The following is a 21,643-nucleotide window of genomic DNA, read 5'->3' on the forward strand; positions in this document are numbered from 1 at the left end:
ATGGAAGGGGATCCCAAAGACCAGTTGGCAGATGGGTTTTGTGAATGAAAAGACAAAGTGGCCTGTCAGCAGCTCTCTAAGGAAGCAGGAAGGGATGGTCAGCACAGGCTGTTTTATGACTTCTGAGGCTGTGGGACAGGCAACCTTATCATAGCCTCAGCCCTGCAAAGCACACAGTGCCCAGGCAGCTATGAGACTACATCTGTGGGAAAATCCATATTTCTATGGACTGAGTCAGGCTAAATTAAACATGAGGGTAATTTGACACATCTGAATTTCATCACCATTATATCACTCTGTAGACCTTGTAAATTTTCATAATGACATTTTTGCTAGGTTGGAGTAAGCTGCCTGCATCTTAGGTGTGTTACTTTAAAACTTTAAAACAGACTAATAAAATGAGGTGTTGGCCAGCTAATCACATGTAGTCATCTCCTCAGAAGGATCCAGGCAGCAAAACGAACCAGAGTTATGAGTAAGTGTCCTGAGGTGGCCCTGAGGGCACAGACCCTGACCATACCCTTTCTCTTGGAAACAGTGACAGGATGGCCAGAGCTGTGTACATGCCACCAGGCATCCCTCTCCTGTGGGAGACTGTGTGATCTGCAAACCCCAGAATTTGTATAACCTGGAATCCCGGGACCTTGGAAATATGATCTATGACCTGCCCTGCTCGCTTCATCTCCCTTAAGAACTGGACATCAACATCATTATTTTGAGATGGTACAAGGGGCTCACCTGGATGGAGGTGAACACCCACCCATCACCTGGCATTGCTAAGCACTGTTACATGTGGTGTTACTGTCATGATTTTCTAAAACTGAAGGACAAGATCAATGTTTGATGACGGGTCAGAGCATTTGGAATCAAGACTGTCCTGGAACTAACTGTGTGTGTCATAATGTCATGTTTCTCATGTGGTACCGGCTCTATATGGGTCACTATGTCTAAACAGGACTCAGTCTCTGCCAGGCTACATGAAAGGTTTGATTTTGTCCCTTATCTGCCTTCCAGTTCATAGCTTCCTCAATTGGCTCTTCACCCCAGGATGAGCCAACCTAGAGATTTTCTTCTGGAGCTGTCCTTCCCTGGCCCCTCCCTTCCCTCTATACTGGGCTCCATTCCTGACCTGAGCCAACCTGAGCTTCGGCTTCTCTTTCCTGGCCCTGCTTCTCTCCTACTCACTTTCTTTCCTGATTCCTCTCTTCCATCAGAGCCTGGACCCCTGAGCCCTTCAGCTTGGGTCTCTGTCCTATCACAGATTAAAATCCACAGCTGTCTCTACAAGAGGGCTACTGTGGGTGCATATATGCTTGAGAGGAAGCCCTTCTCCATTTTAGGGCTAGCTCATCTGGAGGAGTGGGGTACTCCGGAAACTCACAGGGCAGCCCATGGCTGGTCTACGCCAGAAAGCATTCCCTGAAATGCTAGATCCCGCTGATCTCTTCTCCTAACATTCTGTCATAGGCTGTGTCTGTGCTATCCTTGTCAATTATTTGTTGAATTACTCATTTGACAAAGACTTATAGAGCTCCTACTACATGATGAATGGGTCCCTCAATAAACACAGCAAAGTTCCTGCCCTCATTCATATGTTCTTGTGGAGGAGACAGATAATAAAATAAGAAAACAAATCATAAAATTAAGTATTAAAAAATAAGTAAGGCAGGATGGGGGAATAGAGTGGCAGGACTTGGTGGGGGTAGGATAGATATTTAGATTAGAATGATCAAGAGGTGATAGCAGACCTAAAAATGTCGATCAGAAGCTAACCATGTGAAGATCTGTGGGTAGGAGTGTCCCAAATAGAGCAAACAGTGAGTGCGAAGGCCCCAGGACAGTAACAAGGTTGGCATGTTGAAGACATTGCAAAAAGGTCAGTGTGGTCACCACACAACCACAACGGGAGGAGCGATTAAGATGCTGGAGACAGTCAGGGTCCAGATCGTATAAGGCAGATTTCCTCCACCCCAGAACTATCAACATTTTGGGTCAGATGATTTTTTTGTTGCAGGTGCTTGTCCTGTGCATGTTGTTTTGCTGTGCATGTTGTTTTGTGCATGTTGTTACTGGCTGCCAGTAACACCCCTGAAGCCTCCACCACCCCCTTTATGACCACAGAAATGAGGTGGTCACAGATATTGCCAAATGTCCCCTAGGAGAAAAATCACCTTCATTTAAGAACCACTGAACAAAAGCCATGGCAAGATAATTTCATTCTACATATAATGGAAATCCATGGGAGGCTCAGAGCTGGGAAAAACCATTGCAATTTACATTTTTAAAGGGCACTCTGGCTGCTGTTGGCCTAAAAGAAAAACAACAGCAGAGGCAGGAGATGCAGGAAGAGGTCTAGATGAGAGGTGACCCTGGCCCAGATTAAAGAGGGAGCAGTGGACTATAAGAAGTGATTGGATTCTGACTACATTTTGAGGGTGAAGCCAACAAACTTGCTGGTGAATTGGATATAAAAGGTGAGAGGGAAGGCAGAATCAAGTATGGTTTCTAGATTACTCTGTGGGAATAATTATGTCATTATCTAAAGTAGAGAAGACTAGGAGAAAAGTAGCTTGGGGGTTAAAAAAAATTCTAAATTTGAGATGTCCTTTAGACATCCAAGTAGACATGCCAGTAGAATATAAGAGTCTGGGGCCCAGGGGAGAGATCCAGGCTGGAAATGAACATCCGGAAGTCGTAGATCGTAGCTCATGCCTGGGGAGGATGAGATCATCCAGGAAGAGGGCGATCTAGAAAGGAAAGCTGAGCTCTAGGGCACACCATATTTAGAGGTTCAGAGAATAAGGAGAAGCCAGCAAACGAGGCCAGGGAGGAGGACTAATGAGGGAGAAGGGACATTAGGAGAAGAGACAGGGACATGTGTATTCCTGAGGTGTCCTGGCACTGTTGTTACATCTGCCTTAGACTGAGTAGTTGGGGAGCTCCTCAGGCATTCGTTTGTGTTCAATGGTGGTGGCAATGGTACTGAACTACTATAAGGTACTATATCCAAGTTTTAGACAACCAAACGATTGAGCAAAAGCCACCTTGGTTAATCTTTAAGAAATAAGTGGTACTGATACCACTTTATAGCCGAAGAAACTGAAAATGAGGGCACTATAGCAACTCGCTTTCCATCACATGCACTTTAAGCACGACTCCTGGGACTGGAACCTTGGAAAGCCTGTTTCCACATTCATGCTTTTTCTGTGGTGTTCTTGGCCTCTGCCTCACAAGGTTCCGCTCAATGCCTGGCACAGACCTCCATTCTGACCATGGCAGGAATACCTCATCTCTGCTCAAGTTTATGTGAGTGCATCTACATCTGCTACTGCGTTTGGAATGGACCAGGAGGAGCCAGAACTGCTCAATACCAGGGCAAGTGACTGTCAAGATCCCTCATGCAACTAAGGCCAGAACCAGCACGAGCACCTGGAGTTTCACACTCCTGGTCCAGGTTTTCCCATCTTACCTTCTGTGTCTACAACCAAGATGTTTCCCCATCCATCAACCATATCCAGTGCAACAGCCCTAATAGATATGCAGGGGAAGTAGCATTATTCTCATTTTCCAGATTAAGAAACAGAGGCTCAGAGAGGTTCTGTAATTTGCCTAAATTATACCACTAGTAAGATTCTGAATCAGGAATAAATTCCTCATCTCCTAAATCTAGGTATTACTGAGCTGAAATAATCTATCCCTGACTTAGCCATTAGTTTTTATTTCTTACATAATAACTTTCCCAAACCATAAAAGAAAGAAGATACAAACAAACTTTTCTAAACACCAGTATTGCCGGTCAGAATTCTGTAATAGGTTCATAGTCGTTTAAGAAGTCAAAATGACTGGAAGATGAACATTTTGTGCACCATGTCAACTTAAAATTATTATTTTTTGGCTTAATCATAAAGATGCTTTAAAAAGAACCTTTGAAACATATTTGTGTTGCTTTATGAAGCTCTCTGCTTTCTGACATCTCCTGCTCTTTTTTGGAAAAGTTCAAAAACAGCACTTGAAAACCCCACCCCCAAAATATTTTCTTTCATTTCCAAGACACAGAGATGCTGACACATGGGCATGAAATCTGAAGTCAAGCTTTGGAGTCTGACCTCTTCAAAACAGAAAATGAAAACATTTCTAGTGTTCACACTTTCCCTGTGAAAACACAAACACAACACTCTTGAACACAGGTGAAAGGAAAGGTAATTCGTTTCATGCGTAAGAAACATTCTTAGTGGTGTGTCATTTCAGGGGCAATTGATTCCATTTGTCATTGCAATTTTCAGAAAGGGTGGAAATACACTCTCCCCGCCACCTTTTCAGCACAAAAAAAGTAAGTCAGCCTTTGCTTTTTCCTTTAAAAACAGGTGCAACAGCAATGAATTTAAACATCTCTCTGCTGGCTTGTTTGCAGTCCACTCCAGCTCCCTGGTGCTTGGCTCAATATCATTCACCTGCTTGGGAGGTGGGGGCAGGGCATGATGTGACAAATGTCTCTCTTCTGCTATAAATATTATTTGAAATGGACAACTGGCTTGGCGACATTAATTTTACAGGCAATAGTGGAATAAGCGGTGGAGAGAAGAGGATACACTTAAAAAGATGAACATTATCCCTAGAAGCAGGTCTCTTTTCTCGCCTTCTGTCCCACTACCTTGCAACCTCAAATAGAGATATCTTAGCTGCCTAAAAAGCAGCATTAAATCTTTGGTCTGGACAGGAATTCAGCATTTGAGAGGAGATGTCACTAATAATCCTCTCTGAGTACTAGCGGTGAAAATGGGGCCCAGTGGGAGGGCATTTTACTAGGGAGAGAGTTGGAATGAGCCCTGGGGGAACAAGGGTGAATACAGAATGGGGGCAGGCTAAGCTTCCATGAGAACTAAGAGGTAGGCAGTTTGTCATCACTGATCTGTCCTCAGAGGCTACATTAGCCAGGCTCTCAAGAAAATTGGGACATGTCACCTTTGTGGCCCTAAGGTAGAATCTTGGTGTGGGTCACTCTTTCATGTGCCCTCCACTGGGAACCAAAGGTCTGAGGTCAGTGATAGATTGCCCATTGGGTTGAGGGCTGGAGTTAGGATCAGGGTTTACCTGAAGGTGTCAGCTCCAGCATTCACATTAAGAGCCTTTAAACTGTTTATACCAGGGGAGAAATTGAAACCCTCTGCATTGTGGCAGCCTGGAGCCTCGCTCAGGAGAAAATGTTAGACTCTCTGCTCTGGGCAGAAACTTCTTTAGAATTTTGACAATATCAACATTTTAATGGTATCTTAGCCCTGTTGTTCTTATAAAAATATACTGAAGGGGAAGGATATGATTTTGTGGGATCAGAAGCTCCTGCCAAAGTCACTGAACCCACACTAGGACCAAAGCGTTTACCCCAGTGGCAAGGCCATGAAAGGCCATGCTACCCAATGTCAGTGCCCAGTGACAGGGAGGAGGATGTCTTGTGCCCCTTGGACAATTACTGTTATGGTCATGCTTGGGGAAGAGAATCAAAGAAAGATGGCTTTGCAAGCATGAAATGGGAGAAAGACAGTGCAGAAGGTGGGGCCAAAGACAGGATACGATTATTGTTGCTTCTTTGCTGTGTTTGCCAGAGAAAAAGCAAACCTTAGGGATAAAAACATTGTCAATAGTTCTGATGAGGTTGAGTAGTTACAATGAAGATAAGAAAGAGGGAAGAGGAAGAGGTAGAAGAGGAAAAGAAGAGGAGAAGGAAGTAGAAAGAGGAAGGGAGAAGGGAAAAGAAGAGGAGGAGGAAGAAGAAGAGAAGGAGAGGAAGAAGAGAAGGAGGAGGAATGGGCAAGGGGAAGGCAGATGATGACAGCAGCTCTCACTTACTGAGGGTGTCCTTGGTGGCAGGCACAGAACTTCATAGTATGTACTTCATACATCTATGTATGTACTTCACAGATGTACTTCATACACTTTGTCACTTAATCTACACAACAGCTATACAAGAGAGAAACTAGTCTCACCTTACAGATGAGGACATTGTTGCTTAGAGAACAAAAGTTACCCAAGATCACACAACTGCAAATCACAGAGTTGGGACTTAACCCCAAGCTTGCCTGGCTTCAGAGCCATCCGCTGTTCGAAATCATGCTGTTGTCTATGCCAGTGGCTTTCACACTTTTTTTGACTATGACTTATAGTAAAAAAAATGCATTTTCCATCATGAGCCAGTTTGCATATATATGTATATGTACATACATACAGTACAACTAAAACAAAAGTTTCATAAAAATTTTCCCTTGCTATATCCAATGCATATTAATTTTTGAAAATGTTACTCTATGCTCTTTCATTTTTTTCCCTAATGAGAGTTGCACACTAAGTTGATTTCACAACCTGTATTTTGTTTTCTTTTTTCTTTCTTTCTTTTTTTTTTTTTTTTTTTTTGGAGGCAGGGTCTCACTTATCTTGCCCAGGCTAGAGTGCAGTGGCATGATCATGGCTCACTGCAGCCTCAACCTTCTGGGCTCAAGTGATTCTCCCACCTTAATCTGCTTAGTAGCTAGGACTTACAGGTGTATGTCACCATGCCTGGCTAATTTTTTTATTTTTATTTTTGTACAGATGGGGTCTCACTTTGTTGCTCAGGATGGCCTTAAACTCCTGTCCTCAAGTGATCCTCCCGCCTCAGCCCCCTAAGTGCTGGGATTACAGGCATGGGCCACACACCCGGCCTTCAACTTGTAAAAACATTTTCTGTTCTCTGCTCTATGGCAGTTGATTAGAAGTGTCCTTGAACTCCTGCTTGATCTTAGTGGATGCTGGGCAGCATCTCGCTTCTGAGGCATGCAGCTAATTGTGTACTCTGGACCATCCCTCTGGCAAGAGGACATCATTAATAAAATATTTCAGAAATTACAAATATCTGACAAAGCCATTTGCTTGGAAAAGAGTCAGTCCAGGAAACCATCCAGAATATATAATCACTCATCTCAGGCACTGACTGCTAATATTTTAGGCAATTGATGTATGCTTTAGCAAAAGAAACTATTTTCTCTGTTTTCAGAACCTAAAGAAGTCATCTGTTCTGAAAGGCTACACACAGTCGCCATCTAACAATAAATGGTAAAAGAAAAGAAACATGCAAGGTGTTGTGGTGACTCTATCAATCCACCCTCCAGAGTAGTGCTGTCTTTCTCAATTTGGGGTGAATACAACCAGGATCTGAAATTAGATTGCTTTTCAGAGGAGCATGTACATCTCCACCCTGGTTTGGGATTTCAGGGATGATTTTGTTTCAGCAGCTAGGGGCAGTGGCAGGTTGGTTGAATCACATTTAGGTCATGGAAAGTGAAGTCTGATCAGGTGGCTCAGCTCGAGTCAGCCCTGATGGGCTGTGGACTCGGTGACTTCACTCCAAGCAATGTGCACGCTAATTGAGAAAACATGTTCCTGTGATGGCCTCATGCAAAAATCCAGATTTACGAATTTTTTTTATTCCTAAGAATTCCTTAAATATTTGCCGTGCGTGTCTATACAGCCTCCTGGAGTACTTCTCCTTACTGAGTAGGGTTGTGATTTCTGCTGTGGCCCAGGTCAGGCTTTTAAAGGGTGGGATTCTGACAAAGGGCAACTGGGCAAGCAGCCACAGGCCTCGGGGAGAAGCAAGAAGAGGGCAGCAGAGGAGAAAAATAACCCAGACCTCCTGTGCTTTTCCTGGGGCAGAAAAAGCAATTCAAAATCCTTGAAAAGCAATTGTCTGCAATGTCAATGAGGGGGTCCACATCGGGAAGGGGCCTCAGCTTACTGGGCATTGGCTATATTCCAGACTCTGAGGTAAGAACTTTCCAGCACTCTCTCCTTTCCCCTTCACAATTGCCCTCAAAAATCAGTTGGCATCATGATTCCCTTTTACAGATGAAGAAACTGAGGCTTACAGGGGTTAAGTAATGTGCTCACAGAGCTAATGAGAAGTGAACTTGGACCTAAATCCAGTTCTATCTGTGTGCCAGGACTCCTGTAAAATCCTACCTGCCTATGGGACAGCCCCTCACTGCCCTCCGAGGAGCCTCCCTGAAAGCCTTCTTGACATCCAGACCTGTCCCTCTTGGAGGTCATATATTCACAGAATTAGTACTTCCACTAGTTCCAGTTTTGATACTGCTTGCAATTGCTCCATGTGTTAATTCACATAAGAAGATTAAAAAGCCTGCAGACAAATTTTGTTTGGTCTGTACCCATGTGTGGAAAGTGAAGAAATTTCAGAGTTTTGGCTTTTCAGTCTCAAAGTTTTGGCTTTTCTTGAAAAGTTCTTGAAGAGATCTGTATTGGACCTATAATCCTTTACAGCAATGGTTGGCCTGTCCCTTAACAATGAGGCATAGCCTCTCTAGTTTTTCACAGCCCCAGCAATCTCTGGCCTCAGCTCATTTATATTCTCTCATGAGCCACTAAGCCTTTTAGTTATGACTCCTGAGCAAGCTCCTTGGGGCAGGATCATGATTTATATTTATTTTGAGTCCCCAGAGTGCCCAGTGTCCCAGGTAGCATATTAATAAGGATGCTAATTGAGAGAAGAAAATCTATCCAGTAGCCTCATACATGGTGGGCCCCCTCCCCTGTGGGGCGAGGACAATCTTCCCCTTTAACCACAGGTTCTATGTAATTCAGCAACAGCTGCTTAACCCTTGGCTCTTGGTCTGGGAGAGCAGAAATGCCCCACTGCCATAGCAAAATTCACTTTCTCTTTCTTTTCTTGTAAACTTGAAGAATTCCTAAGACATTTAAAATCCTAAAGACACAGAGGAGTTGTTACGTGGAGTAAGGAAGCAAAACATTCTTAAAGCTGCAAGCAAACATGGTCATTCTCAAGAAATGCCTTATTTAGAGAGCATTGCATAACATTTCTGAAATAAGAGTCTGAGGAGAAGTTTGCCTCTGAAAGAAAATTACAGGAGAACCTCCGTGAGTCTTCTCTTACCCAGACATTACAAGGCGAAGATAAATCGCAAGATGAAATGTTTGGTTAAAATTCTATCAAAATGAGAATGTTAACTACAGAAGGTCAAAATATCAGTGAGTAAATTCCTAGAGAAGTCTTCAATGCAACCAAAAAGATTTCTCCTCCCAAAACAGAAAAGCTATATATGCACAGATACATTAAAAACATACAAAAAAGATGTTATCCTACCTGAAATTAAAAAAAAACAACTATGAAGTGGGGGCTCCCCTCAGATCAGCCCTTCCAAGGGAGAACGTGAGGGGAGGAAGCTCATGTTCGTTGGTGCCCCCCTCATGCCAGGCCTGTGCTGCTGTTTTGCCTATGCCTTCCCACTTAATGTGCACAACAGCCAGATGACAGCATAGCTACTACTAATATCTTTGTCTTACAGATGAGAAAACTTAGGGACAGGAGAGGCCCTCCTATGTCTCCACTTTCCTGGAGTACCCCGTCCTTCCCCCTGCTTATCTAGTCCAGCACCTCTCAGGCAGCTAGAAACAGTGTGACTTCTTTTTCTGAAAGTGTTCTCCATAATCCAAAGGGAGCCTGTCCCACTTGGCATCACTCATACACAATGGGGGTTCAATACATATCCATAGTGATGAGGCAGTACCTCAATCGTTGACCTCTCAGCCAGGTCTGCTCAGATCCAAAAATGGGTTGGCATTTCACTAGACTGAGCAAGTGAGACATGCAAGTCACTCCATTACTAATGAGGGTTGTAATCCATCTGTAATGATGAAGAACTGAAGTCAGGACAGTCTCCCCCACCCCCTAACCTGGGCAAGGGCTGAGCTCTTGAGACCATCCTCCCTGGGCTCACTTAGCAACTGCACACAGAGGGGAGGTGACCTATACCACCAACTCTGACTACTGAAGGAGCAGCCAAAGGAAATGGGAAAATCAGCCCATCTGTACTGACAACAAATACTTCGTGGTTATTGGGAAACTGTTCCTGTAGTAGTGGATTGAAATTGCCCAATGTGGAAGGGCTTCTGTGTGAAACTTGGGTGGTTCATTCCCACTGATTTCATAGCCAGCTTCTTTCATTCGCAGGGCTCTCCACCTGCAGAAGCCACCACAGGCGGTGCCAAAAGTGCCAAAACATCTCAATCTGCTTAGCCCAGTGGTGGATTTTCAGGGAAATCCTGACTGTCTGACTCTGACTAATAGTACTACTAAAAAAAAAAAAAAAAAAAAAAAGACTTCCCGCACGTGAATGCGTTGGCTACAGTCTTAGGCAATTCAAAAGCATTGTTGCTAGTTCCACCTGACAGATTTCATCATCAGATCAACCTCATTTGGGGAGGGAGCTCCTTAAGACTTTCTTTCTTTCTCTTTCTTTCTTTCTTTCTTTCTTTCTTTCTTTCTTTCTTTCTTTCTTTCTTTCTTTCTTTTCTTTCTTTCCTTCTTTCTTTCTTTCTTCCTTCCTCCCTCCCCCCTCTCTCTCTTTCTTCATTCCTTCCTTTCTTTTCTTTCTTTCTTTCTCTTTTTCTTTCTTTCTCTCTTCTCTCTCTCTTTCTTTTCTTTTCTTTCTTTTTTTTCCCTCATTTGAAATCAGCGCCAAGCTCTGCAGTTCCTTTTCACTCCTACTTGTAATGAGTTGGGCATGAGTAGAAAGCATGTGTTCCTATAATACCCTCCTACCCTCTGAAGACATTATTCATTTTAACCCTAGGTACTATAAATAAACAAATAGTTCTATTTTCTGTCCCCCAATGAGACCTTGAAGCAGAGGTGAGAATAATGAGCTATTCTACTTGAGAATAAACCCAGTGCCACAAGCACCATCCCTCGAGTGTAGTGTTGCTAGCCTACTTTTTTTCAAGGAAATGTCACGTTATCAATTCTCATTTATTTTCACAGCTTGGGCACAGTTGTATTAATTCGATGTCAATGTGCACTCATGTTGTATTAAGTGCGGTCAGTGTTGGGGGCTTCTGCTTCAGGGAAGGAACCTCCTGATGCCAGAGTGTGATCCACTTAGCAAAGGAGGGAAGGATTTCCTCCCAGTGCTGCAGACTCCACAGGCATGCAGTCTGCCTGTGTTTTTAATAACATATGGCAGAGTAGGAAGCTGCCATGCTCTAATAGCACCTGTCCCTTCACCTTACTCTTTCTGATTTTCTTTTCCCATGGGTCATTTGTAGTCCACTTCACTCACAAAAGGCAAAGGATGACACTTGGTGGGACTACAGCACTGAGGTCCCTGCCGATGGTGGCCTAGAGTCTGATTTGCTGGCTCTTGGAGGATGAAGCCCAGGAATTGACTTCTGGAGCCCCAGTTTGATGATTAACCACAGAAACCCCAACAATAGGGCCCTTATTGGTAATTTCCAAAAGACTTCTCAACTGGGAGCAGCATTATCTTTGAATACACTTAGCCCTTTATGAGGGGCATTTGAGGTTGTCACTATGACTTCTGACATTTAGGAGGTGAGGCAGGAATACTAAACTATCTGCACTGTGCAGATTGGTCACACTTAACCAAGAATTGTCCCAAAATGCTGACAGCTCCATTCAGAAACAATATAAATCCAATATACTTGCCTAATGAGTTGGGAAAGTGAGGCCTGAGAAGCTTAGCGACTTGCTCAAGGTCACAAAGCTACTTCCCTTCCTTTCTCACAAGTGAGGAAACTGTAACAGGAAGTTTACCCAAAATATAGGAGAAGAATATCAAGGGATCATCCTAACATTTTAATCTGATTCCTACTGTGTCCTAGTCTGAGGCCTCAAAAGCATGTAAAGTAGCCCAGAGAGGAGCAATGAAAACATCACGAACCACCAGAAAGTCTTCTCCATTGCATGTTTTCATTCTTCTGGTCTTCACTAAACTTTGTGGCTGAAGGTTTATTCTCCTCGGCTCAAATAGTGACGTTTCTATGCTTCTGCACAGCCTAATAAAAGACCGAGGACCCCAAAGCCTCAGTTTCTCCATTCACATATCAGCCTCAGGATCATCCTGGCCTTACTGCTATTTGGAGTTAGGATCTTAACTATTTTCCCACTGTTATCAAGCGATGTCTCATGGGAATGGATTGGGGAAGGGTCTTTCATCCTCATTTATTTACCCAATGCCAGTGTACACTGTTTTCTCAAAATGGTCCACCACAGAAGTGATTTCTCAGAACTGGCTAAGCCTGAGAGCTGATGGTTTGTGAGATCAGCTAGTGAAAGAAACACACAGGAACTCTTTCTGTGTCACAGAAAGGTGTTTTCTGGGAGCATGGGTTGTTTGCACACAGATATCCAGAGATTTTATGCAAGCCGTCAGCAAACCTTCCACTGCTTCCTGAGATCAGAGAATTTGCTGCCAGCAAAGGTCTCTTAAGGCTTGCTCTAGACTCTGAAGTCAGTGAAAGTTCTTACTTGGAAAAGGTAAATGGCTGGGCCTCTGCTCCCAGGTCTGGCACTGACATCTGCTTGGGGATCTGGGCCTTGGCCCTACTCCATGCCCAGTAGAGAAGAGCAGTGGCTGAATCTCTGTGTAGTTTCCCTGCTGCTCTGATGCAGGGTACTGCAGTAAAGCACTCCATCAATGAGCAGCAGGAGTGCTCAGCACTCTTTAAAAAGTAAAGTTGTGTGATTTTTTTCATCAGTTTATTCTCGGTAATGATGAGAAACTTCCCTCGGGCTCCAGCCCTGCCCTGCCCTACCCTACTCTCCCTGCTGATGTCGGCAACCAGGGCCCCCTTCTTGTCCAAGGCACAGATTTCTCCCTGAAAGAGAATGAGAGTGTGAAGCCTCATTCCTTGCTCCCACTGGCCCTTGGGGCAGGAGAGTTGTGGGGTGGGCAATAGGAGAAGGCAAGAACCTCATTCCTTGGTACAGGTTAAAAGTAGGGAAAGAGTCACCAATACCGGGATGACTGCCCTGAGTGGGCCCAGTTCATTTCTCTGGTGGGCCTGGGCTGCTGTTGGAAATGCAGTGGTGCCAGCAGCTGGTTCTAAAATCCTCTGAGGTGCTCCTATACTTCTGTCAAATTAGTGTTCTCATGCCCCAGTGATCTTGGCTTCCCATTTTTGGTGCTTCCTTTTTCCCTTCACCTGCATAAAGATGTTGGGGAAAGAGTGGGGTAGGAGTTTGGCAACATGTGGCATTAACCCTATCCCCCTTCAACAAGAGGAATGTTCACTTTCTGTGTGAGTCAATTCCAGCTAGGCCAGTCTCAGCCCCCAGACCCGCCTGTCTCCTCTGACCCTCTGGAAACACTGCCCATCATGAATTGACATTTGGGTTGCTCAGGTTGACGTATGACTTATTCAACAAAAGAGACCCATCAGGTTTGATACAGCCTTTCTTCTTTCTTCTGTGACTCTGCAGAGGGAGAAAGTTTCAGACATTCAGGAGGAAACTGTAAACACAGGATAAGAAGGGCTGGCAGGGGCCAATGGCTGCTGCCCTTCTGCACTGCCTCGAGAAGGGGAAAGATTCCCTTCCAGCAGACTTAACTGACGGCTTCAAGAGTTTGAGGACCCTGGAGAGAAGTTACTGATGGGGTCTCCACTGTCATTTCTGCATTTGCAGAGTGCAGCTGGCTGTGCATGGATTGGGGAGGAGGGGACTGGCACTGGCAGTGGGTGTGCCCAGAGGATGGAGCCAGAACAATTAATCAAGTGACTTTTCTACAGGATTTCCATTGGCCTTGGATGACAGATGGGGCAGAGGCACCCAGGAGAGCACTATTTTGGTTTCCAGCTGGGAACGTGCACTAAGTTTTCCTTAATACCCACAGCACCCAAAAGGCTTTGCTGTAATACACTTTAATGCATGAAACACTCATAAATTATCCTTCGAACTGTTACAACTTCCAACCTGGAACAACTTGGAAAAACCAGCCTAGCAAGCAGGCTCTTTTTTAATCTCTCAAATCACAAGAGAAGAAAAAGTTCAAGCACGAAACACCTTCCTTAAGAATCTCGAAATTTTTTTTGTTTTGTTTTTGTTTTTTTTTTTTTTTTTTTTTTTTTTTTTTTTTTTTTTAGAAGGAGGTTTGTAATTAGAGGGAGCTAAGCTGCTTGTTTCTGCTGGCTCAAAGTTGCAGCTCCCTGACCCCTGAGTCCTCTCTCCCTCCCCTAGATCCTCCTCGCCTGAACTCAAGGCGCTCCCCGCCCTAACCTTCCACGCCCGCTTCTCCCACACCTGGCAGCAGACAGCTGGAGATGAAGCGTGTGACCCAAGTGGCAGGGCTGAACCTTGGCGACCTCTACCTGAGGTTGTCCAACGCGGCTCCGTGGAGGGCCCCGGTACGCCGGACGGACCCCGGCGTTGGCTCGCAGACTTCCTGCGTTAACCCCCGGGGCCCTCAGTCACGACTCCCAGCCCTTCCGAGACGCGCTGAGGGAACTGCCCCAGGTCTAGCGCGCCCCGTTCCGCTCCTCCCCCTACCTGGGGGCCGCGCAGCACTTTCCCTACTCGGCGCTCACCTCAGCCAGCGCGCTCTGCGCTCCCCCCGCGGTGCTGGCCGCCACTCCTCCCGCCCTGGCGCGCCAGCTGCCGGCGCATCCCTCTCCGCGCCCATTCGCTCTCCCTCACTTGCGCGTTATCCACTTCTAGCCCTCGAGCTAGACCCTGGCATGGCCGTGGGCTTCTGCAGGCGCCAGGGCTGCTCCCTGGACTGCAGGCCATCCTGGGACTAGGGACTCCACGACCAGAACTAACGCTGTTCCCTCGGTCCGACTCGTCCTCCCGCGAGGGTCCCGCGCCCCCACACCCACTCGGGACATTTCTCAGGGCTGCTCTTCGGCCTGCGGGAGCCTCGGGGGTAACCAGAGAGCTCGCCAGACCGGTATCCTTGCAAACTCTCCCGCGAAGCCCAGCCACCCCTGCCCGCGCCCGCGCTGCGCCCCTCTCGGGATCGGCTCGGGGCAGCCTGACTCACCGCTGCGCTCCCCTCCGGCTCCCAGCGCTCTCTGCTGTGCCGGAGCGCCGAGCTGCTCTCACACAGGCTTCTTGAATTCTTAGCCCCTCCTCCCGTACTCCTGAGTCACACGCTCCAAATCCTGGCCCCCATCCCTCCCCTCCCCACCACCAGCCCCGCACCTGCTGTGGCTGGGCTGTGGTGCCCGGCTGGAGGGGGTCCTGGGGACTACAGACGGATCGCTCCTGGAGGGCTGGCCAGACCCAGCCAGAGAAGGACTTTAAACCTTCAGAGGTCAAAGGGAAACCCACTGGGGTCTGAGGGGCCGCGCGCGCAAAGCCGGGAGGGGGAGTTTCTGGGGCACCGGCAGGGGTCGTTGGGCCGACTGGCTGGGGCTGGGCGGAGTTGCTCGCAGCTTCCCTCACCTCTCCGCCCTGCCCCCGCGCGTTGCCCTTCGCCAGTGCCTCCCTGGTCTGCCCGGCGTCGCCCTCGGTGCCCCAGGCATCGGCTGCTCCTTTTCTTCGGGGCGCCTTTCCTTATCCCAGGATAGGTGAGCACCCAGGGGGAGCTCCGCGAGGGGCAGGTGCCCAAGCTCCTCTGACAAGGGAAGGCGGCTGCAGAACCAGCTAGAAGGCCCCCAGGCCCGGCAAGTCCAGCATGGGGACAAGGGGCAGAGGACTTCAGGAGTCAGGAGCTAGAGCCGGGACCTTAACTTAAGGCCCTGGGTTCCAGGAACTTCCCGGAGTCCTTGGCCCCTCTGAAACTGTAGGCTGATTTGCGCGACTGTGTGCAATGCTAATATTCTTTTCTGAGCTGAAGGTCCGCAGCTTTCATCAGTTTTGCAAGGGGTCTGTGACCCCAGACTGATATAGCCAGCAAACCCTAGGCCCCCATGCCCCCCTCTCCACACTCCAGGCCCCACACAAATTCTTCCTGACCCTTCAAAATTTCTTGAGTTCCCTCGATTCAGCCTGACAGGAGAGCTTGCCTGACTTTCCCCTGCCCCTCTGCCAGGGCTGTTCCCACCCCAGCATAAAATGAGCAAGGGAGAAATACCCCTGAAGTCAAATTTGTCACCAAATGTGCATCATTAATTGTAGCATTCCAGGGGATTCGTAGCTCTTTGGAAATTTACAGCCCCACTCCCTCCCGTGTTGAGCTTGTCTGTGCCTTCGCTTCTTCCTATAGCAAAGGTGGGTTGGACCCCTACCCTGTATGGATGCCACAGAGGAGAAGTAGGTGTGAGGAGAGTAACAGGGAGGGAAGGTGGGGCACAGAATCTCCCTATTGCTGGTAACACCAGCCAGTGCAACTTAGCAGAAGGGCACCCTCCAGGGAACTGGGATTTAGTGAAGCAGATGATTCCTGTCCTAAGTCTGGGGGTGGTCATTTACCCTTAATGGATGGCACTTGAGCAAGATGAAGCCCTGACTAGGCATTTCCAACTCCCTTGATTCAGATTAGTCTTGAGGTCTTACTTCTTTCTATTTTCACGTTTGCTCCCATAAGAAAGTTCATTCCATTTACACATGCTCTGAGAAGGATGAAATAGGCAAAAAGCCCTGGAATTGGAAGTCAGCCTTAGCTTTGGTGTGACCTTGTTGTTTCCCAGCCTTAGGCTTGTCCACTTCTGACTTGTTCAGATACAGGCTGGTGTATGAACACACTTTGGAAGTGAGGGCAAGAGGCCAGGGAACACTGTGAATGGCCCTTTCTACAAAAGTAGTATCATAGTCGAGGTGATCCATTAGGAAATTTATCATCGTCAATTAAACAAAAGAATTTCCAGATAACAGGATGAATTCATCCATCAATCATGTCATGTATAAACTTGTTTGGAAAGCACTAGCCCCAAGCCTTACATAATAGCTGCCTGAGAATTTGGGTATGAAATTAAACTTTTAGAATAACAGAGAATTTGGTTGTTGAATGCAGAGCATTTGTATGTGTTCTTGTGGCATCATTCAGAAGGACAAAAGGATTTGGGACACTTGTGGTTCTTTTCCATGTGGTATGTAAGGGGGAAACTTTAAGTGATGTAAGCAGATTATAAGTTTGCTTATATGCTCCATCCTCACCCCCTAAATTGTTGGTCATATTCTTCTTGCACATGTTGATTTAATAAGAGCTCCTTTCTGCCCCTAACTACCTCTATTTCTGTCCCTGGACTTCAAGGATCTTGAGTAAATAAGAACATGTAAACAACAAACACAAAAATACTCCAAAGATTATTGATTGAGAGCCTACCATATGCCAGGCACTGTGTGCTGGCAGTGGTACCGGCTCTCAGAGAGCTTATGTTCTAGTGGGGGCTTGATTATTAGTCCCTGGCCATGTTTATCACAGTTTCCCTAGGTCCTAGCATAGGACCTGGCCTATAGTAGGTGCTCAGTTAATACTTGTTGAATCCAACAACGGTCAGAGTCATTTGTGACTGTCAGACAACCCACCAACACTGGATTGGTTTCCAGCAGGTTCCAGATCAGCCTGCCTTTGGCACAGAGACCACAGCCAGGTGCCTTTTCCCCTGCCTCTTCCACTTTCAAGAAGGTTCAAACAGAAATGTCCTTCTCTTGGGTCATTGAGAGAAGGACTTCTGGGCCTGGACCAGCTACATTCATAGGAATGAAAAACAGCTGAGAGGGCAGCGGCCAGAGGAATGGTGCAGACAAGCAGAGGATAAGAATGTTTTTCTGTACTAGATTTTCTCGAAAGAGCCTTTTATCCAGGGTATCAAAATAACCAGCAGCTGATGCATTTGCTGACTTGGAGGAGAGATTGTGGCGTGTACAGTAATTGTTGTTATTTCTGAAGATCTAGAAGGCTGCAGCCATTGAGTGCCTCATCAACAGCAACAGTCAGCTAGCACAAACCCCTGGCTTCTCCCTTGCTTCATTCCAGGAGGCCAGGACAAAGTGCATGTGCTATTTAAAACACCAGCAGGCTCAGCAGAGATCTGCCAGCAAGGATGGAATCACTGGATCTGCTAGTTCTTCATGTGAAACACAGAAATATTGTCCCAATTGCTGGAGGAAGTGATAGCTTCCGTTTAAAGACTTTTTTTTCCTCTTCCTTCTAATCAGAGTGAAGAAGAACTTCAGAAGAGGAAATGTTTCATAATGCTTAGTGAGATGACATGTTCACAGAATCACAGAAATGATCAATCCAGCCACCTTATTTATGGATGAAGAAACAAGGGCTCAGGAAGGACAAAGGCTCAGCCAAATACACGTGGCCAGTGTCCGGCTTTTTGACTTCTAAGCAAGCCTTCCTTTTACTACACTCCCTGAAAGAGGCTGGGAGAAAAACTGACCAATTCAGTCTACAGGAAAAAGCTGGTAAAGGAGCTAAAGTAGGCAAGGGTGCAGAGAGGGCCAGGGGTGCCCCCTTCTCCTCTGGGCTATCCCTGCCTACTCCTGTGGCCTGTTCCTGGCTTTTGCTGTTTCTCGCTGAGATCTCCAGTTCCTCCATCTCTACTAGTTCCCTCGCTTTTGCTTGTGAACATTCACTTGCCTTTTCTCTCTTAAAGAAACTGCTAGCCCAAACTCTGGATTTCTTAGCTTCCATTCACTACCAAATTCTTCAGCAAGGTAATCTATACCCATCATTTCCTTGGCACCCCCTCCCCGAAACTTTCTGCAACCAAGTTCCCATCTTCCTCCCCTACCTTTCCTTTCTCCCTACTAAACTGATAATTTTTTTTAAAGGTCGTTAGTTGCAAGAACACCACCAACACCAACACAATCTCAGCAGCATTTATCTAGTGCTTGCCTTATTTCAAGTACTGGGCAAGGCATTTTTCCTAGCCTTATTAATTGGTCCTATTGATTTGTAGATAAGATGAAACTCTGAGAGGTAAGTCACTTCCCAGGTCTCATAGCTAGCCAAACGGCTGAGTAGAGAATTGAACCCAATCCCTTGCTGTTAAATGCCACGCCTCCTCCTCCTTTCAGCCAAGCTCAGCTGACTTTGACAGTCCTAGTCCACTCTATTCATGACCTCCTTTGTCTACAACTTTCCTTTCAGAACTCCTGTGACCACACTATCCTGGCTTACTAGCCACCTCTCTGATTTCATCTGCCCTCTGCACTCATGGGCCTCCCACAACTCAGTCCTGGGGCTTTACATTCTCCTCCACTCTTGTTCTTCCAGGTGTTTTTTTCTACTAATTTTATAATTCCAAGCATGGTTTCAACTCTGGCCTCTCCTTTAATCACCAACACTTTGAGTGTTATGTGCGAAGCACTACCTAGGTTCTTGTTTCAGCGAATCTGCACAGGCCCTGGCGAGGACTGTGTTTCTGCCTCTCCTCTGACTCTCAGCCCCTCCATCCAAAGCCCTTGCTCTTAACTCAGCCAGGCAGCTGCCCCACAGATCCCATTCTTGAAAGGTCAGGAAATCCACGTGGGCCCAGGACAGTTCAGCTCTTTTCCTGCAGCCCAGGAAAGTCACCAGTTTGGAACTGGCAAGATTTAGCCCATCTGTCCTCTTAAGTGGTGTGTCCTTGGGAGAAAGATTGACCCTCCTTGAGCCGTAATAATAATAATTACTTTTCATTATATGGAGTGAATATGTTAAACAATTTTCAAGCACCTGCTACGTGCCAGCCCCATTCTAGGTGCTGGGGATTCAGCAAATGAACAAAACAGCCTATAAACACATAGAATTTTTTATTTTTAAATTTTTTAATAATTTCAACTTTTACTTTAGATTCAGGGGGCACATGTGCAGGTTTGTTACAGGGGTATATTGCCTGATGCTGAGACTTGGGATATGATTGATCTCATCACCTAGATAGTGAGCATAGTCCCAACAGTTAGTTTTTCAACCCTTGCCCCATTTCCTTCCTCCCCACTCTAGTAGTCCCCAGTAGATACATGGAATTTAAATTATATTAATTTGCGTCACCTATTTAATAAATGTGCATTATTTAATGTATATTATATGCCAGGCCCATAAAAGTCAGTTGTGATTTTGGTGAGTTGCAGGGCAGGTGAGTGAGACAGATGCAGACACAGTCAGTGCCAACCAAGTCAATGATCTCCTTAGGTGCAAGGAGAGTCAGGTGAGCCCTCTGGGGACTGGATCCTCTCCTCTGCTGTCCCGATTCAAACAGCTGTGAGCCTCCACCTTTTCAGGCTGGTCTGACTCCAGTCTCCACAGGAACTGGTCTCCACAAGAACCCCTGGTGACCCTGTGGCTTTCACTGGTGCTTTCTTCAGAGTCCCCTGAGGCTCTCTCACTCCTCTCCCACTGAGCCAAACCCTCAGTGTCCCTCACGAGCCTACAGCCAATTCAAGTGTGCCTCCATCTGGGTCCTCACTATACAACCCTCCCTGGCCCTGGAGTTGGTACATTCCTATTAGGGCCACCCAAGAGATACCTCTGGGGCAGGATTCCCCAGGGATCAAGTTTGCCTGCATAGCATCACAGCTGCTCTTTCCTGTCACATGGTATCATGTTGACAATTAAGGTTTTGTGGTGCTGAGGCAGGCAAGAACCCCACACTTTCATTTGTGATGCTCCTATGCAGGAGTCTGGGATAGATGGGCTCTGCCACATCCTGGGTAGATCTCTGTCCCTTCAGTGGTGACACTGAGCTCACTGCATTTATTAAAATCCTATCCTGGGGTAGAATCTGTGTTAGGTACAAGGAAACAAAGATCAAGAAGAAATGATTATTGCTATATAGGAACCTACTATCCAATGGGGCATCAGACACATAAACTGATAAGAAATCTGTAAGGGAGGATCTAGAAGCTGGAGAGATGGGAAATTCAACCAACTTAGAGCTTTGCCTTTGTTGTCATCCCATTGCATTTTGCATAAATTCCATATTCTTTGAAGAGACTTACGAGGCTCTGTGTCATCTGGCTCCTCCAGCCCCTTCATCTTCCTTTCTTGCTACTTTCTTTTCTTTGCTCTAGCCTCTGCCGTGGTGAATTTACTTCAGTTCATTTCACAAGCAGCACCAGCCCCACAGGTCCTATATGGTGTTTCCAGTGCTTCAAAAACTTTTAGCCTTCTCCCTACTCCTTCACCTGTCCATTTCCTCTTCCTCTGAAACTCAGCTCTGAGAATCTTCAATGACATTTCTAGTCAGGTGATTTCCCTGATCCTCCAAGTCAAGACTGAGTGCCCTTTCTAGGTGCTTCTCCAGCCCTCCATATTGCACAAAACACATGCTCAATAAATCATTTAAAATGAGATATTGCCCAAGATAAGCTTTGAAGCATGTGTAGGAGCCAGGAGAAGAATGCTGGGAAGGACATCATTTGAGACAGAAGGAACACTTTTAACCAAGGTGTGCAAGTGTGAGATGGTATGTTGCGTACGGGAAACTGCAGCTGATTCAGAACTGGTGGGGCATGACGTGGTAGGAGATACTGCTGGATCAGTCACTGGGAAGGTCGAGGAAGGCATGGATAATGAAGGGTGAAACCAAATGCAAAGAGACCACCTAGGGCCGGTAGTTATAGTCAGGGTGAACGGTGATGGCAGCAGCCTGATCCATGCATGGGGAGCTAAGCATGCAGAGGAGACATTCAAACAAAACTTAGCGTGTAAATTCATCAGGAAGTGGGGAATGGCTGGATGCAGGGGTAGGGTGAGAAAAGGGTCTCCTGGGTGCCCTTTGGATTCCTGATTTGCCTGAGCAGGTAAATGATGGTGCTGGCTATGGAGATGGAGCATCCAGAGGTGGGGCCTATGTAGTGGCCTTGGAAGCAGGGGTCTTCAATTTAGGATTTTGCTGGGCCCATGGAATACTCAAGGACATATGTGCAACATATGGAGTTTGGAGATCAGGAATGATGTCGAGG

The 21,643-nt window shown here is 46.4% G+C and overlaps 1 protein-coding gene and 1 long non-coding RNA gene across 3 annotated transcripts in view; one reads left to right on the top strand and one right to left on the bottom strand.

The window, feature by feature from the left end:
• Positions 1–14,889, bottom strand: part of NGF (nerve growth factor) — a 52,333-nt gene extending 37,444 nt beyond the window's left edge. For both annotated transcript variants that reach the window (NM_001437545.1, NM_002506.3), the window contains exon 1: positions 14,844–14,889. The gene's annotated coding sequence lies outside the window, so the exon portion shown is untranslated. The remainder of the gene's footprint in view (positions 1–14,843) is intronic.
• The window catches only part of NGF-AS1 (NGF antisense RNA 1), an 85,039-nt gene that overhangs the window by 40,327 nt on the left and 23,069 nt on the right, over positions 1–21,643 (top strand). The gene's annotated exons all lie outside the window — the stretch shown is intronic.

The sequence above is a fragment of the Homo sapiens genome, chromosome 1 (genome assembly GCF_000001405.40).
Source record: "Homo sapiens chromosome 1, GRCh38.p14 Primary Assembly".
Taxonomy (NCBI): domain Eukaryota; kingdom Metazoa; phylum Chordata; class Mammalia; order Primates; family Hominidae; genus Homo; species Homo sapiens.